We start from the raw sequence: 17,297 nt of genomic DNA, 5'->3' as shown, positions 1-17,297 counted from the left end.
CTGAGTTCAACCTGTATCTCAAGAATTTTCAAATTTCATCAGAATTTATGATCACTTTCAGCTCTTAAGTCCTGCTTAGTGTGAATCAGTTTAGGGATAATCTAAATGTCCAATATGTATTATTATGTTTTGCATTATATTGTTTTAGATGTGGATCACTATACTTTTTCTTAGTTATGCCAAACTACTTATAGAAACTCTTATATGTGTAAAGGACTACTGAGTTATAGGGGATGTAGAGATTTACACTGCCAAAAGGCTCAAGATGTAATATTCTATGTTAGATATTGATGTTCCTAAAGTTCCCTCTCTCCTTCCAAATCTTGGGCTTCAGATTCCGATCATGTAGGTTAAATCATCTTTTGTTGATTACTCATGTTTTTAGTTTCTCTCTCCAAATTCCTATTGATTTCCAAATACAAAGCAGTTTAGTTGTGTCTCTTGACATGGGCAGAGTTTCTCTTGCCCTTAAAGTCTTACTTTCCACTTCTAAATACCTTCCAAGATGTTTTCCTCCACAAACACAATATCTTCCTTAAAAGATAGACCCTGCATCAGTTGTTAAGCTAACACATCTTTCTCCTCACTACAAATGTATCACTATTGAATTTCTCTCCACAAGTGTGAAGATGGCTGGAGTAGAAATTCTGGCATTGCTTCTCATCACCAGAAGGAAAAATTCAGGTGAGCTCTGTCAAAATGGTGGGTTGGCTATGGCACTCATTTCTCAATCATAAGATTTTAGGCCAGGACAGTCTACTCTATTAACATAGTCTGAAGAAGTGATCTTTCCTTTTACATTTATAGAGTCTTTTCTTACTAGTGATAATAGACATGCTGTAAAGTACCTCATATCCTAAAACCTTTAGTTTTAAGTATACAGCGAACAACTTAATTTAACTTCTATACAGCATAGACAAAATATATGATAAGTGACTATGTCATTTACATTTAATGGATTGGGAAATGTTATTTTATTTAAGGAAAGTTCTTCTGTAAAAATGTGTCTTCTTTGACATTGTTATGTGTCAGCTAACTCACATTTTCAAAGCTGGAGTGCAGATATTTCTGAGTATATATATATATATGTGTATATATATGTGTGTATATATACGTATATATATGTATATATACGTATATATGTGTATATATACGTATATATGTGTATATATACGTATATATGTGTATATATACGTATATATGTGTATATATACGTATATATGTGTATATATATACGTATATATGTATATATACGTATATATGTGTATATATATACGTATATATGTATATATACGTATATATATGTGTGTGTATATATATATATTTGGTTACACATAATACTATTCCTGTCATTTTCTTCAAGAGTTCAAAACTATTGTGGAGTATTTTTATTTTATTGTGTGTACTTCTAAATTCTCACTAGAGTTTTACTCTCATGACAGTCATAAATTGCTGGTTCTTTTTCATGGGAGAGGGTAAGATTTCCACAGGGAATAGCTGCCTTAAAGAAGTATTTTACATATTAAGAGTTCTTAAAGTAATTTTAATTAGTCCCTCCAAAATTATTTTTCCTTGAAGCTGTTTGTTTAGAAAAATTTGGTTCTTGCTTTTTAGCATTAAGCTGTATAGATTTTTAAAATAAACCAAACACATAAACTTTTTTCTCTATCTTTCTTTCTTTGTCCCTTTTATTATGAAATGCATTCTGTGCCTATCCAGCTGTGCTGGCTGTGTGTCAGTAATGTGAGTCACTGACCAATGTTCTCCCACACATGAACAGGAACTAACACAAAGAAAAATAAAAGATACAGCTCTTGGATTTTGCTTACAGCCAAACATTAGGGAAAGGAGGTAATTGTGTTATTTCAATGAAGTTTGATTAGACATATTTCTTTGTATTTGTGAATGACATTGCTATTTTCAGTTAGTTGTAGGAGATTAATGTGATGGAACTGCAATTAGAAGAGAAATGACACTGAGAGATCTTTTAATTATATTTTAGCTAGGAAATCCCTTGACAATATCAGCAAACATTTTTACTAAAATGACATGAAAACAAAACATCAGTGATAAAGTGAAGACTGAATATGGGTTTCTTAAATCCATAAATTCTTACAATAGCCGACCTAATAAATATTCGTCTACTTCTTTCTGTTTTTTCATGTCTTTCTATGTGTTGATTAGAATTACAGGATCTGAGAGCTGGGTATAATCTTATAAGTTATATGGTGAAATATTTTAGAAATAATAGTCCTAATTTTTACAGATAAGAATACCAAGTTCCAATAATCTTAAAAGATTTGGCCATTCCCATACAGATAAATATTGTCAGAATCATCAAGTCTAGCATTTAGTCTCATGATCTTGTCTACTGTGATTTCCAGTACACTCCCTTTATTACTCCCCTCTCTTTTGCTGTAATTATTAGCAAAGATCCTTAACTCAGTGAATTGATGGTGGCTGGCGTTTAGCTATTCCTAACTTGTCTGATAATTAAATAAAATTGTCATTTGACTCATGTCACCAATTTGCACTTGCATTGGAGGTAGATTAAACACCTGGGTTAAACCATATTTATGGTACACAGAAGGTTCTAATTAAAGAGCAATTGCACTTCTCACTGCCAAACAAAAGAGAAACAGATTCACAAACATATTCTCATGCCTCGTAGATGAGAAAGCTTTAATAAAGTCAGTTGGCTGAAACAGTACTTTTGTTTCCCCTGTCTCCCTAAGGAGGAGAAGGGTGAGAAAGAGTCCAAGGGCAAAAGTGAATCTGAGGATGAAGATATGCCACGTTAGCTCTTTGGAAACACACACACACACACACACACACACATTCATTTCAGATCTCAGAAAAGCAACACAGACATAAATCCTATTCTAAAAGTTCAAAAAATTTACCTATCTCTGCAAGAGTCTCCAAACTATAAGTTGAATTTTTCTACTTACTTTAATTACTTTATGAACATTTTTGAAAAAAAGATAGTAATTTTGCTTCTCATAATGTGAGCAATGCTGCCTAGAGGCAGAGCTACTTCTGTGTGAAGAAAGGGGACATAGGTCCGTTATGACGTCTATGTAGTTATGTAAAATCACATATATCCATGATGCATACTTTGTATGTCAATGAGTTTAAATCAATGTAGAATTCTCCTTTGAGAAGAACCTAGCATTCCTGCAAGTGACAGGTATTAAAAACCTTGTTACAAACCCACTTTTTCTGAACATGTTATGAACAGTGAAATGCCTGCTCTTTATCTTGTGAGCTCAGACGATTAAGTATCGTATAAATATTGTTGACCACGTGACTACTGTTATTTTTGACTCTGACTCTGTAGAGCTCAAATGCTAACTCCATTTACTGAAGCCTCTTCTGGTAAGGGTTCTGGAAAATTTCAAGAGCATGCAATAAAAAACAGTGATGAACTTCCTTAGGAATGCAGTTTTACAAAGTTGTCATGAAAAAAGAAAACCTACTGGAGCTGGGAAAATGTTGTAAAGTGTGGTATAAATGTCTATCCTACGGAAGAAAAGGACAATGAACATTGCAGCCTTCCTTTTTGTTCTCTTTAATCTCAATTTAAAACCATGTGTTAGGAAACAGAGAGTGGAGAAATGGGAAAAAAAAAAAGAGAAATGGACAGAGACAAAAAGAAAAACTGGAGGGATCTGGGGAAACGGGGAAAGAGGAGAAAATTCTGGAGCTAAAAGTAGCTTTTTGTGATTGCAGCTTTTTGACCTGGGGTATTGCCTTTTGATTTGGAGATCACTTTGGCTTGGGAACTCTGACAAATGAAGTTGGTACACAGAGATGGAAGCAAATGGATCACTGCCAAGGATTTATTTTCAACTCTGGGCTCAAAGACAAAAAGCTAGGAGCCTGTAGATATGTTCATATATTTGTTAGCCTAGTTATTAATGACAAGGGCGCTCAAAGCTCTCAGTATAAAGTTTGGGTTTGAGTTTCCCCTGTTTCAACTATAATTAACTAACTCCTCTCACTCAGACCAATATGAAGTTTGGGTTTGCGTTTCCCTTGTGTCATGTGTAATTAACTCCTCCCAGTCGGGCCAGTCCTTCACTTCCAAGTGACTCACTTTTATTTCAGATGATTTCCTGGCTACCATTCTTTCCCAGAGAAGATTATCATTTCTTAGAAATTCTGAGTAGAGAAATAGAGATTATGCAAACACAGAAATGCAAATTCATGTCAAAAGAGGAGGGAAAAATGTAAATTAAAAAATCACAAAGCATTGTCTGTATATTCTTTCCATCTTATGTCGTGACAAAATTTACTTCTGGTGAATGTTGTTCTTGTATTTAGGGGAGTTAGTAGGCTTTTCAGTTACAGAAAGTGAAGCATCTACAGGGAAAAGTTAAGAAAATACACTAATTCCCTGGATAGTGAAGTAAAAGGTATTAACCTTGGAGAGAGAATGTTTTGGTTTTGTTTGATTTATTCCACAAATTACTGTTTAGTGGGGTGGGGAGTAGGGATGGCGAGTAGTGGGCGTTGTTCAGTTCTGAGTGACCAGGCCCCAGAGCCACCAGAGGAAGCTTATACCTAAGGAGAAGGACAGGCACAAAAGAGCTCTCTTTTATGGGCATGACCAGAAAACTTAAGAAACATGATACCTATACCCAGCTTTAGATTATTTCATGTCCTATGTTGTGATTCTCCTCCATCATCTCCAAAGGCTTCAGTGCCATCAGACACACACGATAGCTGTGTGTTAATAGAGCCTTAGGGACGGTTTACGTTCCAACTTGGGACCAAGTGGTAAAGAGAGAGGACAACACCCGGCATGAGCAAATGAGCAATGAGGCAGTGGTGATTAAAGAAAAGCCAGAAGTTCAGAAGAGAGAGGAGTGAACAAGAGAAAAAATATGTATCTCCGTAATCCCTGGAATTACGGCCAAGGCTTCTGGACTTGATACAATTACATTAGATGAAAGCAAGAGGATTTGGAACATTTGGGTTACATAGGAAAATATATTATCCAATCATTGAAGGATGCTTGGAAATTAAAATTAGAACCCCTAAATATTTACAAATTGTGTTTCTAAGGTAATATACTTCGAGTAGTTTAAAAAGCAAATAATTGTAATCTGAGAAGACCGAGAAGATGGAAGAAGAAAGAAGGTGACCAAAGAGATAAGGTGGTCTCTGTTGCCCATCTGATGTGATCATGGTATGGATGATTATGTTGCTGGGGAAAAAATTAAGGGCTGGTTTATGTCAGTCTCTGAACTTCAGACATGTGTTTAGTCATCTAAAAGTGATGGCTCGGTACTGTCCTCAAGAGTATCATTAAAGGACTACACATATTTTAGACTTATTTCCCAAGTATTAAGCCCAGCATCCATTAGCTATTCTTCCTGACTCTTTCCCTCCTCCCACCCCCAACCCTCCAACAGGCCCCTCTATGTAACAAACCTGCACATCCTGCACATGCACTCCTGAACTTAAAATTGTAAATAAAAAATTCAAAAAATAAAAAAATTCATTTTCATGTCTTTTAACCGTTCATGGATATTGAATAACTGAGAAATATTAGAAATGTGAATCTTTGATCTTTAAGAAAAAAAGAATAGCTGGCAATCAAACTTTATAGAGCTCTATTTGTTATGAACAAAGAATCAAATACTATATTATCTTTATATATCTAGTTTAAGCGAGTAATTATGTTAGTATGATTTTATGTAGTTGATTTGAATAGGCTATAAGTTTCTAGAAGCTGGCTATATATTTATCCTCTTGGAACCCTAGAGTGTCTTCTGTTTAATAGGCTATTGAATAAGTTTATTAAGTTAAGAAATTCAAAGAGAAATCTTAACATTTGAATTACTTGAAATCTTAAAAATATTATGAAAACTTAGAAAGATATATTTGGATTATGACACTTTGATCAATTAATGTAAAATACATAAACTCTTAGGCACATATTTTCATTATGGGTCCTAAGAAGCATATACAACATTACTACCTCCAGTAACCTCTAGGATTGCTCTAGAGTGTCAAAGAATATTTTTGCATTTGACTTTTATTCTCTGATGATTTTTATTCCAACAACAGTGAAACTCTCCAGAATTAGAGCCTGAGTCAGTGAGGCCCCATTTTCCAGTTGGCTTTGTCAGTCAGAACCTGAAGGGGAGCACATCACATCTCCAAACCTGAAATAGATGTTTATTTTCGGGGAACCAATGTGCACATTAAAGCCAGTTAATAAAGTAGTTGTACACCAAGATATCTCATGGGGAAATGGGGCCTCTCTGTCTTCTTTTATTGTAGTTACTTTGCAGGTAGAATACTGCAGGTTCAGCTGAGTCAGACATTACATCATTACAAAAAAATTATCTTTTGATTTCTGTTAGAGATTTCCTTTAAAAAATAATTTCACTACTTAAGTCTATTTGCATCCACACATAATCCTTTTGATCTTAGCTAGAACTGAGGGTCATGAGAACTAGAATAAGCATGTGAGATGTTGACTTTTGGATTGAGAGTTGTGTTATGTGGCACAAAGATAACTATATTAGTCAGACCAAACTGAATTCCTTTATATGAGATGTTGAATTTTGTCCATAGTCATGCTGAAACATGACTATATTTAAAAACAGTACTCTATGCATTATACCTCATATTTCCAAAAATGATATTTAACATCCACAGATAAATTTACTGGTCAACATGAACTTTTCTATCTACTGATATTGTCATATAAATGACACCCAGCAAGGCCGGGTGCGGTGGCTCATGCCTGTAATCTCAGCACTTTGGGAGGCCGAGGCGGCGGGGGTATCACCTGAGATCGGGAGTTCAAGACCAGCCTGACCAACATGGAGAAACCCTGTCCCAACTAAAAATACAAAATTAGCCAGGTGTGGTGGTGCATGCCTGTAATCCCAGCTACTCGGGAGGCTGAGGCAGGAGAATCGCTTGAACCCAGCAGGTGGAGGTTGCAGTGAGCCGAAATCTCACCATTGCACTCCAGCCTGGGCAACAAGAGCGAAACTCAATCTATAAATAAATAAATAAATAAATAAATAAACAAATAAAATGACACCCAGATTAGTATGAGTGTCATTTAAAGGAGAGATGGGAACAGCAAAGAGTATATAAAATGTTACACACTGTCAAAATTGTAATTAAATAAAGCTTATGACTCCAGGATATTCTGACAGGAAAAAATACAACAGAATTTTCTAAGTAATCTGTTACAAATATCTAGAATCACTTTGATATTTGGTAGTTTATACTTTGTTAGCAAAAAAAACTCTTTTAAAAAAATCAGATATTACCGCATGGTGAGATTTACAAACTATTGGGAAGTAGAAAACAACAGTCATATTTTCCTTTTCTCATTCACCTCGGAATGAGTTGGGATCTAGTTTAAATTAAAGCCAATATAATTTGAAGTATAAAAAATAAAATTTTTAAACAATGATAAGTATTACTAAAAAGAAGGTTCTAATATAACCATGCCCTGGTAAAGAAAGTTTATTATGGAGCTAAGTATGGGTGTCATTTAAAGGAGAGATGGGAGCAGCAAAGAGTATCATGATTGGGAAAGGAAGGATGGAATTTCTAGTGGGGTTGAGTAACAAGAACTGTGACTGAGTCCTAATGAATTATATGCCTTTCTCTGAAATCTTTCTCCAAGGCATATTATTTCTTGCCTCAGTTGGAGTGGCAATAAGGGCATTTGGAAGATTCACTTTCATTATATCTCATGGTCTAATGTACTCCTTTCTTACTACTTCCAAAGCTTGGTCTCAAACTCAAATTTCTTCTATTTATGCTCTAGGCTAACACAAGAGGAAAGAAGACAAATATACTATAAATGTATCCAGGACATTATGTTGTACAGTCTGGCAATCATTTTACTTTCTGGAAAAAAATAAAACACAACATTTGGATATTTATAATGTAATAACTTTAAGGATTATTGTGGGACCAAGGCATAATTCCCTAACTTTTATGTTTTATTGTAAACTGAAAAGCTTTCTCTCTAGTTAAAAGAATTTTAGACAAGAGGGTGTAGGTAAAATGAGTGGGATTGGGAGTGGTACCAAATGGATGAGAGGGATCAAGGAGACCTATTTGTTGCTGAAATCTGGAAGAAAAACTGCTCTTTATTTTTTTTAAGCGGTTAAAGGTTGCTCAGCTAGCTCCATCAAAAGGTGTAGACCTTTTGCTCTCTCTCACTAACCTGAATCTCTCAGCTCCTGTTCCTCTTCCTCCAAATCTCTGAATTTCAAGAATCCATATTAGTTTCATGATGCCCTCTCATTTTTCCTTTTCCCTTGACCTTGGCCTAAGTCTTAGCCCTAGTTTACTCAGTGTTTTGTGCTACACAGTCATCAGGTGAGAGATTCTGTGGTGTCAGGGCTCTGGATCTAAGCTGTTATAGGAATGCAGGGATGTGGCAAAATAGTTGGAAACACAAAAGTTTAGAAATAGATGGAATTAAATTTCTTTTTACTCAGTCATGCTACACCAAAAACAAGTCAATATATATATCTGAGGACCCACTCCTTTTTTTTCTGGTAAATGAGATCATTTTTTAAAATACTTAGCACAGTCCCTGGCCCGTAATAAGCATTCATTAATTGTTGTGGGAGGTGATAAAGGAATAAAGCCATTGCTAATAGTATGTTATGATGATTATTATTTAGATACTATCCAATCCAATCCCTCACCCAGTGAAGCAATCTTTTCTACAATGTAACTGCCAGATAAATATCCTTTCTTTTTATAAAATACTTTTATAGTTAACAATTTACGGCAAAATTTGCTCTGCCCAACTTACACTCTTTGGTACTACCCACTGATATTACATAGAATTGATTTATGCATTCATTTATCTTAAAACACATATCCATCCACTCACCACTTACTTAGTGCTAAGTATGTCCTTGAGAATAAGCTGGATGCTGGGGATACAAAAAGTGAGACAGACATGATATCTAAAAGACGCTTATAAACCAGTAGTCAGAAAATAATATGTTGCAGATACTAAGAAAGGGCATATTGAAAGGAAAGAGTGGTTAACTATCACAAAGTAGCTCTTAGAGCAGGTAGTGATTAAGTTGCGTCTCCAAAGATAATAAGGATTACTTTAAGCATACTAAGTCAAGAATGAGGACTGGAACAGAATGATGAGGCAAATCCTGGAAGAGGATGCACTATGGTAAAGACATGAAGAACTGAGACAGCCAGGTGTGACAAGATAGTATGTCATGACTGGTGTCCAGGGTGAGAGGGAGCAGGGGGAATGGACATAGATAAGGCCAGGAGATTTAACAGGAGTCTTACCGGAAGGGGATGTGTATGTCATGCTGATAACATGGACACTTTTGCCTACAGTATTAGGAAACCATAGGCTGATTTTAAATTGGAGAACTTCATATGCAAATTTCAAAATGTCATTCCATGGTTGTGGAAAATGAATTAGAGGGGACACTAATAAGACAGGGAATCATTTTATGACTTTGAAAGTTGCTGCAGTGATTCTGGCGACATCTCGTTTCTTGAAATAATGACCTCTGTTCTCAACATGACTACAAATGCAACATAAACTTTCATTAATTTTTAAGCAATAAAATCACACTGTTCACTAATAGGAAAGCAAAAATCAACTCACACTCTAGCTATTTTTTCATATGATTAGCAAATTTAAAACTCACGATTCTGTCCAAATGGAATTATTTAGCAATCTAAATATCTAGATTTACATACAGCATTATCTTCTAACTTAAGTCTATTTTTCCTACCATCAAGAAATGTTTTTCTTAATTGTCCCTAAATTTGAAATTATTCAAATTTTTCAATGATTTAATCTATCACTTTAAATATTATTATTTTACTGTTAACTTAGCACTTATTAACCTTCTACAAAAATATAAACTGAGTGAGGGGAGCTGTTATTACCCAAATTCATGCAACTAAATGTGGCAGAAGAAAACCAGAAAACCAGACTGACCCAGTCTCTGCATGCCTTCAACTACGTGACAGCTTTTAGTCAGTGAGTATTCCCACACAGATGCATTATTTGACAAGAATACCTAATTTTCATACTGTCAGCCAAAAGGAAAGGAGTTTTGAAAACACATAAATGTAGACTATGAAGAATTAACATATCATGCATTTCCCTAAGGAAAACTGTCTTCATTTTTAAGTAAAATAAACTAATCTTTTTTCTCAGTGGAGAAATATTAAGTTCATTAGTAAAATTTGAATAGTCTAATTTGTCAGGCATAAAAGAAAATCTAAGCTAAAAAGCTAGGAAGGAAAAAGCATTAGACATGTAATACTGACCACATTCAGTCCAAGAAGCGGCCTATTACATTATCCGTTCTTGATAAAATATGTGTTCCAGACCTGATATATAGAGAGAACAAATGAACTTGGATTTGAATACCCAATGGCAAAAGATTCGCAAATTATATCTTAGAAGTAACACCTTTTATAGACTTCTAACTTTGTTAAGAACTATTAAAAAATGGACTGTGCCGGCAGGGCGCGGTGGCTCATGCCTGTAATCCCAGCACTTTGTGAGGCCAAGGCGGGCGGATCACAAGATCAGGAGATCGAGACCATCCTGGCTAACACGGTGAAATCCCGTCCCTACTAAAAATACAAAAAATTAGCTGGGCATGGTGGCAGGCGCCTGTAGTCCCAGCTACTCAGGAGGCTAAGGCAGGAGAATGGCCTGAACCCGGGAGGCGGAGCTTGCAGTGAGCGGAGATGGCGCCACTGCACTCTAGCCTGGGCAACAGAGCGAGACTCCATCTCAAAAAATAAATAAATAAATAAATAATAAAATAAATAATTAAAAAATGGACTGTGCCAACTTATTATGGGACTAAATTGATACAATGACTACTTCTCACTTGGGCCAGTAGCATCTAGCGGCTTTTCATTAAGACTATAATAGCAGTAGCAAAGGGAAGTTTATAAGATTGTTATTTTTCTCTTGTTTGCCCCATTTGTAACCATTCTCATTAACCACAGAGTGCCCATCCTCCCAACAAAACAAAGACTATCCTGTGTGACTTCCTAGGCCTTCAGACTGAATAGGAGAATATCTCCTAGCATGACAATTAATCTAATTCCCAGGGAGGCCAAGTGCATGCAGCAGAAATTCAAGGCACTAAATATGTTTTTGAAATAGTTTTATTTTTGGTACTTCAAAAAACTTGAAGTAGTTTTTGGCTGGGTGCGTTGAATTCCAGCACTTTGGGAGGCTAAGGCAGGCAGATCACCTGCGGTCAGGAGTTTGAGACCAGCCTGGCCAACATGGTGAAACCCCGTCTCTACTAAAAATATAAAAATTAGCCAGGTGTGGTGGTGGTGTCCACTTGCTTCTGTAAGCCCACCTACTCAGGAGGCTGAGACAGGAGAATCGCTTGAACCCAGGAGGTGGAGGTTGCAGTGAGCCAAGATCACACCACTACATTCCAACCTAGGTGACAGAACGAGACTCAGTCTCAAAAAAACAAAAAATAAAAAATAAATTGAAGTCGTTTTCATGAAAAAAATTAGAAAATTTTGCATTCTTTACAAGTTACTTCATCTTTTTTTATTTTAAACCAAAGCAGGGAAAACGATAATCTTTTCAGTGCTTAGGGCTTCGAAACCTCTTTCTGGCTCTGTTTCATTTTCTTATAATGCTATTCAAGTTATTAAAAAATGACTAGATGTGATTGTCATTTTAAATAACAATGGTAATATTAATTCTTGAATTATTTTCAAATTCTGGTAAAAATGAAACTCATAGGCAAAACTTAATATTCTTTACAATTTATAATTTTATGGTTGTCCATGAATAAAATGTGTTTTAAACTTGTCACTGCTTTTAATCTCTGTCAGATATTGATTGGCCTAATTGTAACTTAATAGAGGCACTTTTTCACCCTTGACTTAAACTTCTGTTCACTTTTGTAGGTAGATTGAGTTTAACGGGAAGATAAGCTTCTCCTTAGAAATAGCAGCATTCACCATCTAAGTACCTCTGTATTAGTGAAACCAAACTCCTAAGATGCATATTATTGACTCCAGGAGGAACATACCACAGAAATCATTTTCTGCAGCTGGTTCTATGTTCTTGTGGTGTTGATTATTAGAATAAAATCAGAATTTGGGAATAAAATCATATTGTCTTTGCAAATAATAGCATCTTACAAGTAAATCTGTACTCAGCCTAGAAAATTCATAAATAGATGTCAAAATAATGGTTTCTTATGCAACCACTTTCATAGAACAATGTGATTTACTAAAGGTTCAGGGAAATATCCAAGAGATGACTAGAACAGAACCTCAAATAATAACAACGTTTAAGGGACTGATTGCAGGATTATTCTACAGAATTTAACTATCTGTACTCAGGGTGGAACTGCAGTGAAGGAGTAGTGTGCCTGTTGTTATTTTTATAATTTAACCCTACATTCCCAGTTCATGTGTTATAATGCTCAAGAAGTAACATTATAAATTTAATTTCAACTTTAAAACACCTTTAAGGTTATTTTCCAAATCTCAAATAGATCCAACAAGAGTTTCAGAAAATTCTTTTAAAAAATGTATTTCCATTTTTATGCTGTTTTTTTTTTAAAAATAGTCATACGATATCATATAATTTATTTAGAAATGCTCCCATATGAATGAATCATTTGAATTAAGATTGCAGGGAAGAATAACTTTTTTGAGTAACAATGTTATCTCAAAATTTAGCTTTAAAACTATAAATCCAGTTTATAAAAACTATATAAAATATTTAATAGTCTAGGTTGGTAAATACATATGTAAACCTCAGAATCTAAAGCTGTTTGAGTCCTACTGCTACTTACGACTTTGGTATACTTAAGTAAATTCTCTGTACTTACATGCAATCAAAGTGATTTCTAGAAGGTTTGCTTAAAGAAATCAGGTGCATTTCTTGAGGTCACAGAATGAGTACTCAACAGGCAGAAGGTGGAGATGGAAACTAGTTGTGGATATTTGCTAGCAATGATGAACGAGATTGTAATCCCTGCAGTCAATTCTAAAGTACGTATATAAGGAACACATTTTCATTCAGGGACACTTAATTTGTAGATCAATAGCAGAGTTTTGAATTATTTTTTTTCCACATTAGTGCCAAGTATTTTTCATCCTGAAGTAAGGCACTGAACATTTGTTCTCCAACTTCAAAATCAACCACTGCTTTTTTTTTTGAGACGGAGTCTCGTTCTGTCGCCCAGGCTGCAGTGCAGTGGCGCCACCTCGGCTCACTGCAATCTCCGCCTCCCGGGTTCATGCCATTCTCCTGCCTCAGCCTCCAGAGTAGCTGGGACTACAGGCACCCGCCACCACGCCCAGCTAATTTTTTGTATTTTTAGTAGGGACGGGGTTTCACCGTGTTAGCCAAGATGGTCTCGATCTCCTGACCTCATGATCCACCTGCCTCCGCCTCCCAAAGTGCTGGGATTACAGGTGTGAGCCACCGCACCCGGCCCAACCACTGCTTTTATAAAGCTTAGAAAAAAATCCCCATGTTCTTTCTCCTGGTGTTCAAGATTTTCCCATGGTTTGTCCATAACATATTCTCAATCACATTAGTCCTAAAAATTAGAGTCAAGCATATGTATTATCTGATATTTATGTGTATTCTACAAGTTTCTATCTCTTTGCCTAACAATGTTTTCTCTGATTACTTTCTGAATTCCAAGAGCATTACGCACATCCAATTCCAAGAGCATTACACACTTGACATTCTTTTCAAGTGCACATAGAATATTTTTTCAGGATATGCCATATGATAGCCACAAAGCCAGCCTTAATACATAAAGAAAATATAAAAGGATTGAAATAATCCTTTTAAAGGATTATTTAAATTAAGGAAATGTGCTCTCTAGCATAAATGAAATAAAATTACAAATCAATAACAAAGAAATTAGGGAAATTTATGAATATGTGAAACATAACACAATCCTAAATAATTAGTAAGTCAAAAAAGAAATCACAGAGGACATTAGAAACTATCTTGAGATGAATGGAAATAAAGACACAACATGCTAACATTATGGAATGGAGTTAAAGCAGTGCTTGGAAAGAAATGCATAACTCTAAAGACTTACATTAAAAATATATTAGTTCAAATTACCACAAATTTAGTGTCTTAAATTAATGCGAATTTATTCTATTACAGTTCTATTGATTGGAAGTCTCACTGAGTTAAAATCATAGATAGTGTCAGCAGGGCTGTGTTCTTTTCTGGAGATTCTACAGGGAATATTTTTTTTTTAAACCTTTTCCAGGAACTAGAGACTACCACATTCCATGGTTCATGACTTTCTTTCTTCACCTGCAAAACCAGCAATGGTGGATCCAGTCCTCACACATCATTCAGACCTCCTCTTCTTTCTCTTGCAGTTTTAAGCACTCTTGTGATGACATTGGATTTTCCTGATAATCCAGGACAATCTTATTTTCAGGGAACTGATGAACAGTCTTAATTCTGTCTGCAACTTTAATTCTCTTTTCTAGGTAACCTAACACATGCACAAAGAGATTAGGGCATGGATATCTTTAGGAACAAAATAATGACTTCCCATGAGATGAACCTTGAAAACATGCTAATAGAAGCTGGTCACAGAGGGACACATATTGCATATTTCCATTTATTTAATGTATCCAGAATAGACAATTCTGTAGAAGCAGAAAGTATGTTAATGCTTGCCTAGGCTGTGGGGAGGAAGGATATTGGAGGAGAGACAGCTAACTGGTAAGTTTCTTTTGGGGGTAATGAAAATGTTCTTAAATTGATTGTAGTGATGGTTATACAAATCTGTGAATTTACTAGAAACTATCAAATTGTCCATTTTAAGTGATGGAATTGTATTGTGTACATATCAATAAAATATAATTTTATTGATTATATGCATATAATAAAATTGTGTATAAATGTAGAATTACATATAAACACATGTCTTATCTTCCATAGTTTAAAAAGGAGTGATGAATAATGAGTCCGGGTAGAGTGGCTCACACGTGTAATCCCCAGCATATTGGGAGGTCACTTGAGCCCAGGAGTTTCTGACAAGCCTGGTCAACATACTGAGACACTGTCTGTACAAAAAATTTAAAAATTAGCCATACGTGGTGTCACACACCTGTAGTCCCAGTCACTCAGGAGGCTGAGATGGAAGGATTACTTGAGTCTAGGAGGTCAAGAATGCAGCGAGGTATAATTGTGTCACTGAACTCCACCTGGGGTGAAAGAAATATCCTGTACCCCCGCAAAGAAGGAATGATGAGCAATTATAGTTTCATAGTCACTCAGTAAACTACAGATAACGTCTTCACTACAAAAACAGTAGCATCAGTACCTGTTTGTTGTTAAAAATAAACCTCAAGGACGGGCACGGTGGCTCACGCCTGTAATCCCAGCACTTTGGGAGGCCAAGGCGGGCAGATCAGGGGGTCAAGAGATCGAGACCATCCTGGCCAATATGGTGAAACCTCGTCTCTAGTAAAAATACAAAAAATTAGCCAGGCGTGGTGGCAGGCGCCTGTAATCCCAGCTGCTCGGGAGGCTGACGCAGGAGAATCGCTTGAACCCGGGAGGCGGAGGTTGCAGTGAGCTGAGATAGCGCCATTGTACCCTGGCCTGGTCAAAAAGATTGAAACTCCATCTCAAAAATAAAAATAAACATACATAAATAAATAAACTTCAAACATTGAGATAATTTTAAATTTACATGCAGTTGTAAGAAATAATACAGAGTGATCCCATGCACACAGAAGCAATACAGAACTGTAGTACGAGACATGGCCAAGATACTGGAAATAATGTGGTGAGGATACAGTGGAGATTTACTCATATTATTCATTTTTTGTCCTATTAATATTTATTGTATCTGGTCTGTAGTAATAGGCCCTGTTTCATTCCTGATATTAGTATTTTTTGTCTTCTTATTTCTTTGTTTTGCTGGGGGTTTGAATATTTTATTAATAGTTTTAAAGAACAGGCTTTTTGTTTCATTGCTTTTTCTCTTTCTTTTTTTTCAGTTTCACTGATATCTGCTTTTATCTTTATTATTTCTTTCCTTCTAGTTGTTTGGGGTTTATTTTACTTTTCTTTTTCTTGATTATTGAGCTTAGACTATTGATTTGCAACTTTTCTTATTTCCTACTATACTCTTTTTAATCTTACAAATTTTCCTTCCAGCACTGCTTTTGCTGTGTCTTAAAAATTTTGATGTATTTTCATTTTCATTCAGTTCACTGCATTTCTTGATTTCCCTTGAGATTTCCTTTTTGAGCCATGAGTTATTTCATAGTATGTGGCTTAGTTTTCAAATGTTAAAAGATTTTCCTGTTATCTTTCTATTGATGACTTCTTGCTTGATTGTATTGTATTTGGAAAGAACATTCCATATTATCTCAGTTTTTAAAAATTTGTTGACATTTGTTTCATGGCTAATGATATGACCTGCCTTGGTATATGTTCCATGAGTACTTGAAAAGAAGATGTACTTTGCTGTTGTTGAGGAAAGTGTTCAATAAATGTCAATTAGATTCTGTTTAGAAGTGGTGTTGTTAGGTTCTATATCCTTGCTGTTTTTCTGTCTAAATGTTCTATCAATTGTTAACAGAGGAGTGTTAAAATCTACAACTACAATAATTAAAGATTTATTTATTTATTTATTTATTTATCTTTCATGTGAATCATTTTTGCTTCATACATTTTGCAATTCTGTTGTATGGTACATAAACATTTAGGTTCACTATGTCTTTTTTGTAGATTGACTATTTTATCACCATACATTCATCCCTTTATATTCATCAAGGATTGGTTCCGGAACCCCCATGGGTACCAAAATACAAGTCCCTTATATACAATGGCATAGTACTTGCATATAATCTAGGCATAGTCTCTTCTATACTTTAAATCATCCCTAGACTATTTATAATACCTACTATAATACTAATGCTATGTAAATAGTTGTTATATTGTATTGTTTAGGGAATAATGACAAGAGACAAAAAAGTCTTACATGTTCAATAGAAATGCAATCATCCTTTCTTAAAATAAATATTTTCTATCTATGGTTGGTTGACTCCATGGATGCAGAACCCACTGATATGGAGGGGTAATTGTATAATGTCCTTCTATCTCTGGTAATTTACTTTGAATTCTACTCTATGTAATACAGGCATGCATCTCTTATTACATACTTTCTGAGAAATGAGTGATTAAGCAATATCATTATTGTGCAAACATTGTAGAGTGTATTTGTACAAACCTAAAT

The 17,297-nt window shown here is 35.2% G+C and overlaps 1 long non-coding RNA gene across 1 annotated transcript in view; it reads left to right on the top strand.

Moving 5' to 3' along the window:
- DIRC1 (disrupted in renal carcinoma 1) overlaps positions 424-17,297 on the top strand; it is a 56,386-nt gene continuing 39,512 nt past the window's right edge. Inside the window, exon 1 of the long non-coding RNA NR_161166.1 lies at positions 424-684. This is a non-coding gene — a long non-coding RNA (disrupted in renal carcinoma 1). The remainder of the gene's footprint in view (positions 685-17,297) is intronic.

Source organism: Homo sapiens, chromosome 2 (genome assembly GCF_000001405.40).
Source record: "Homo sapiens chromosome 2, GRCh38.p14 Primary Assembly".
Lineage (NCBI taxonomy): Eukaryota > Metazoa > Chordata > Mammalia > Primates > Hominidae > Homo > Homo sapiens.
The sequence above is the reverse complement of the archived record's forward strand: the minus strand, read 5'-3'. Positions and strand labels throughout refer to the sequence as shown.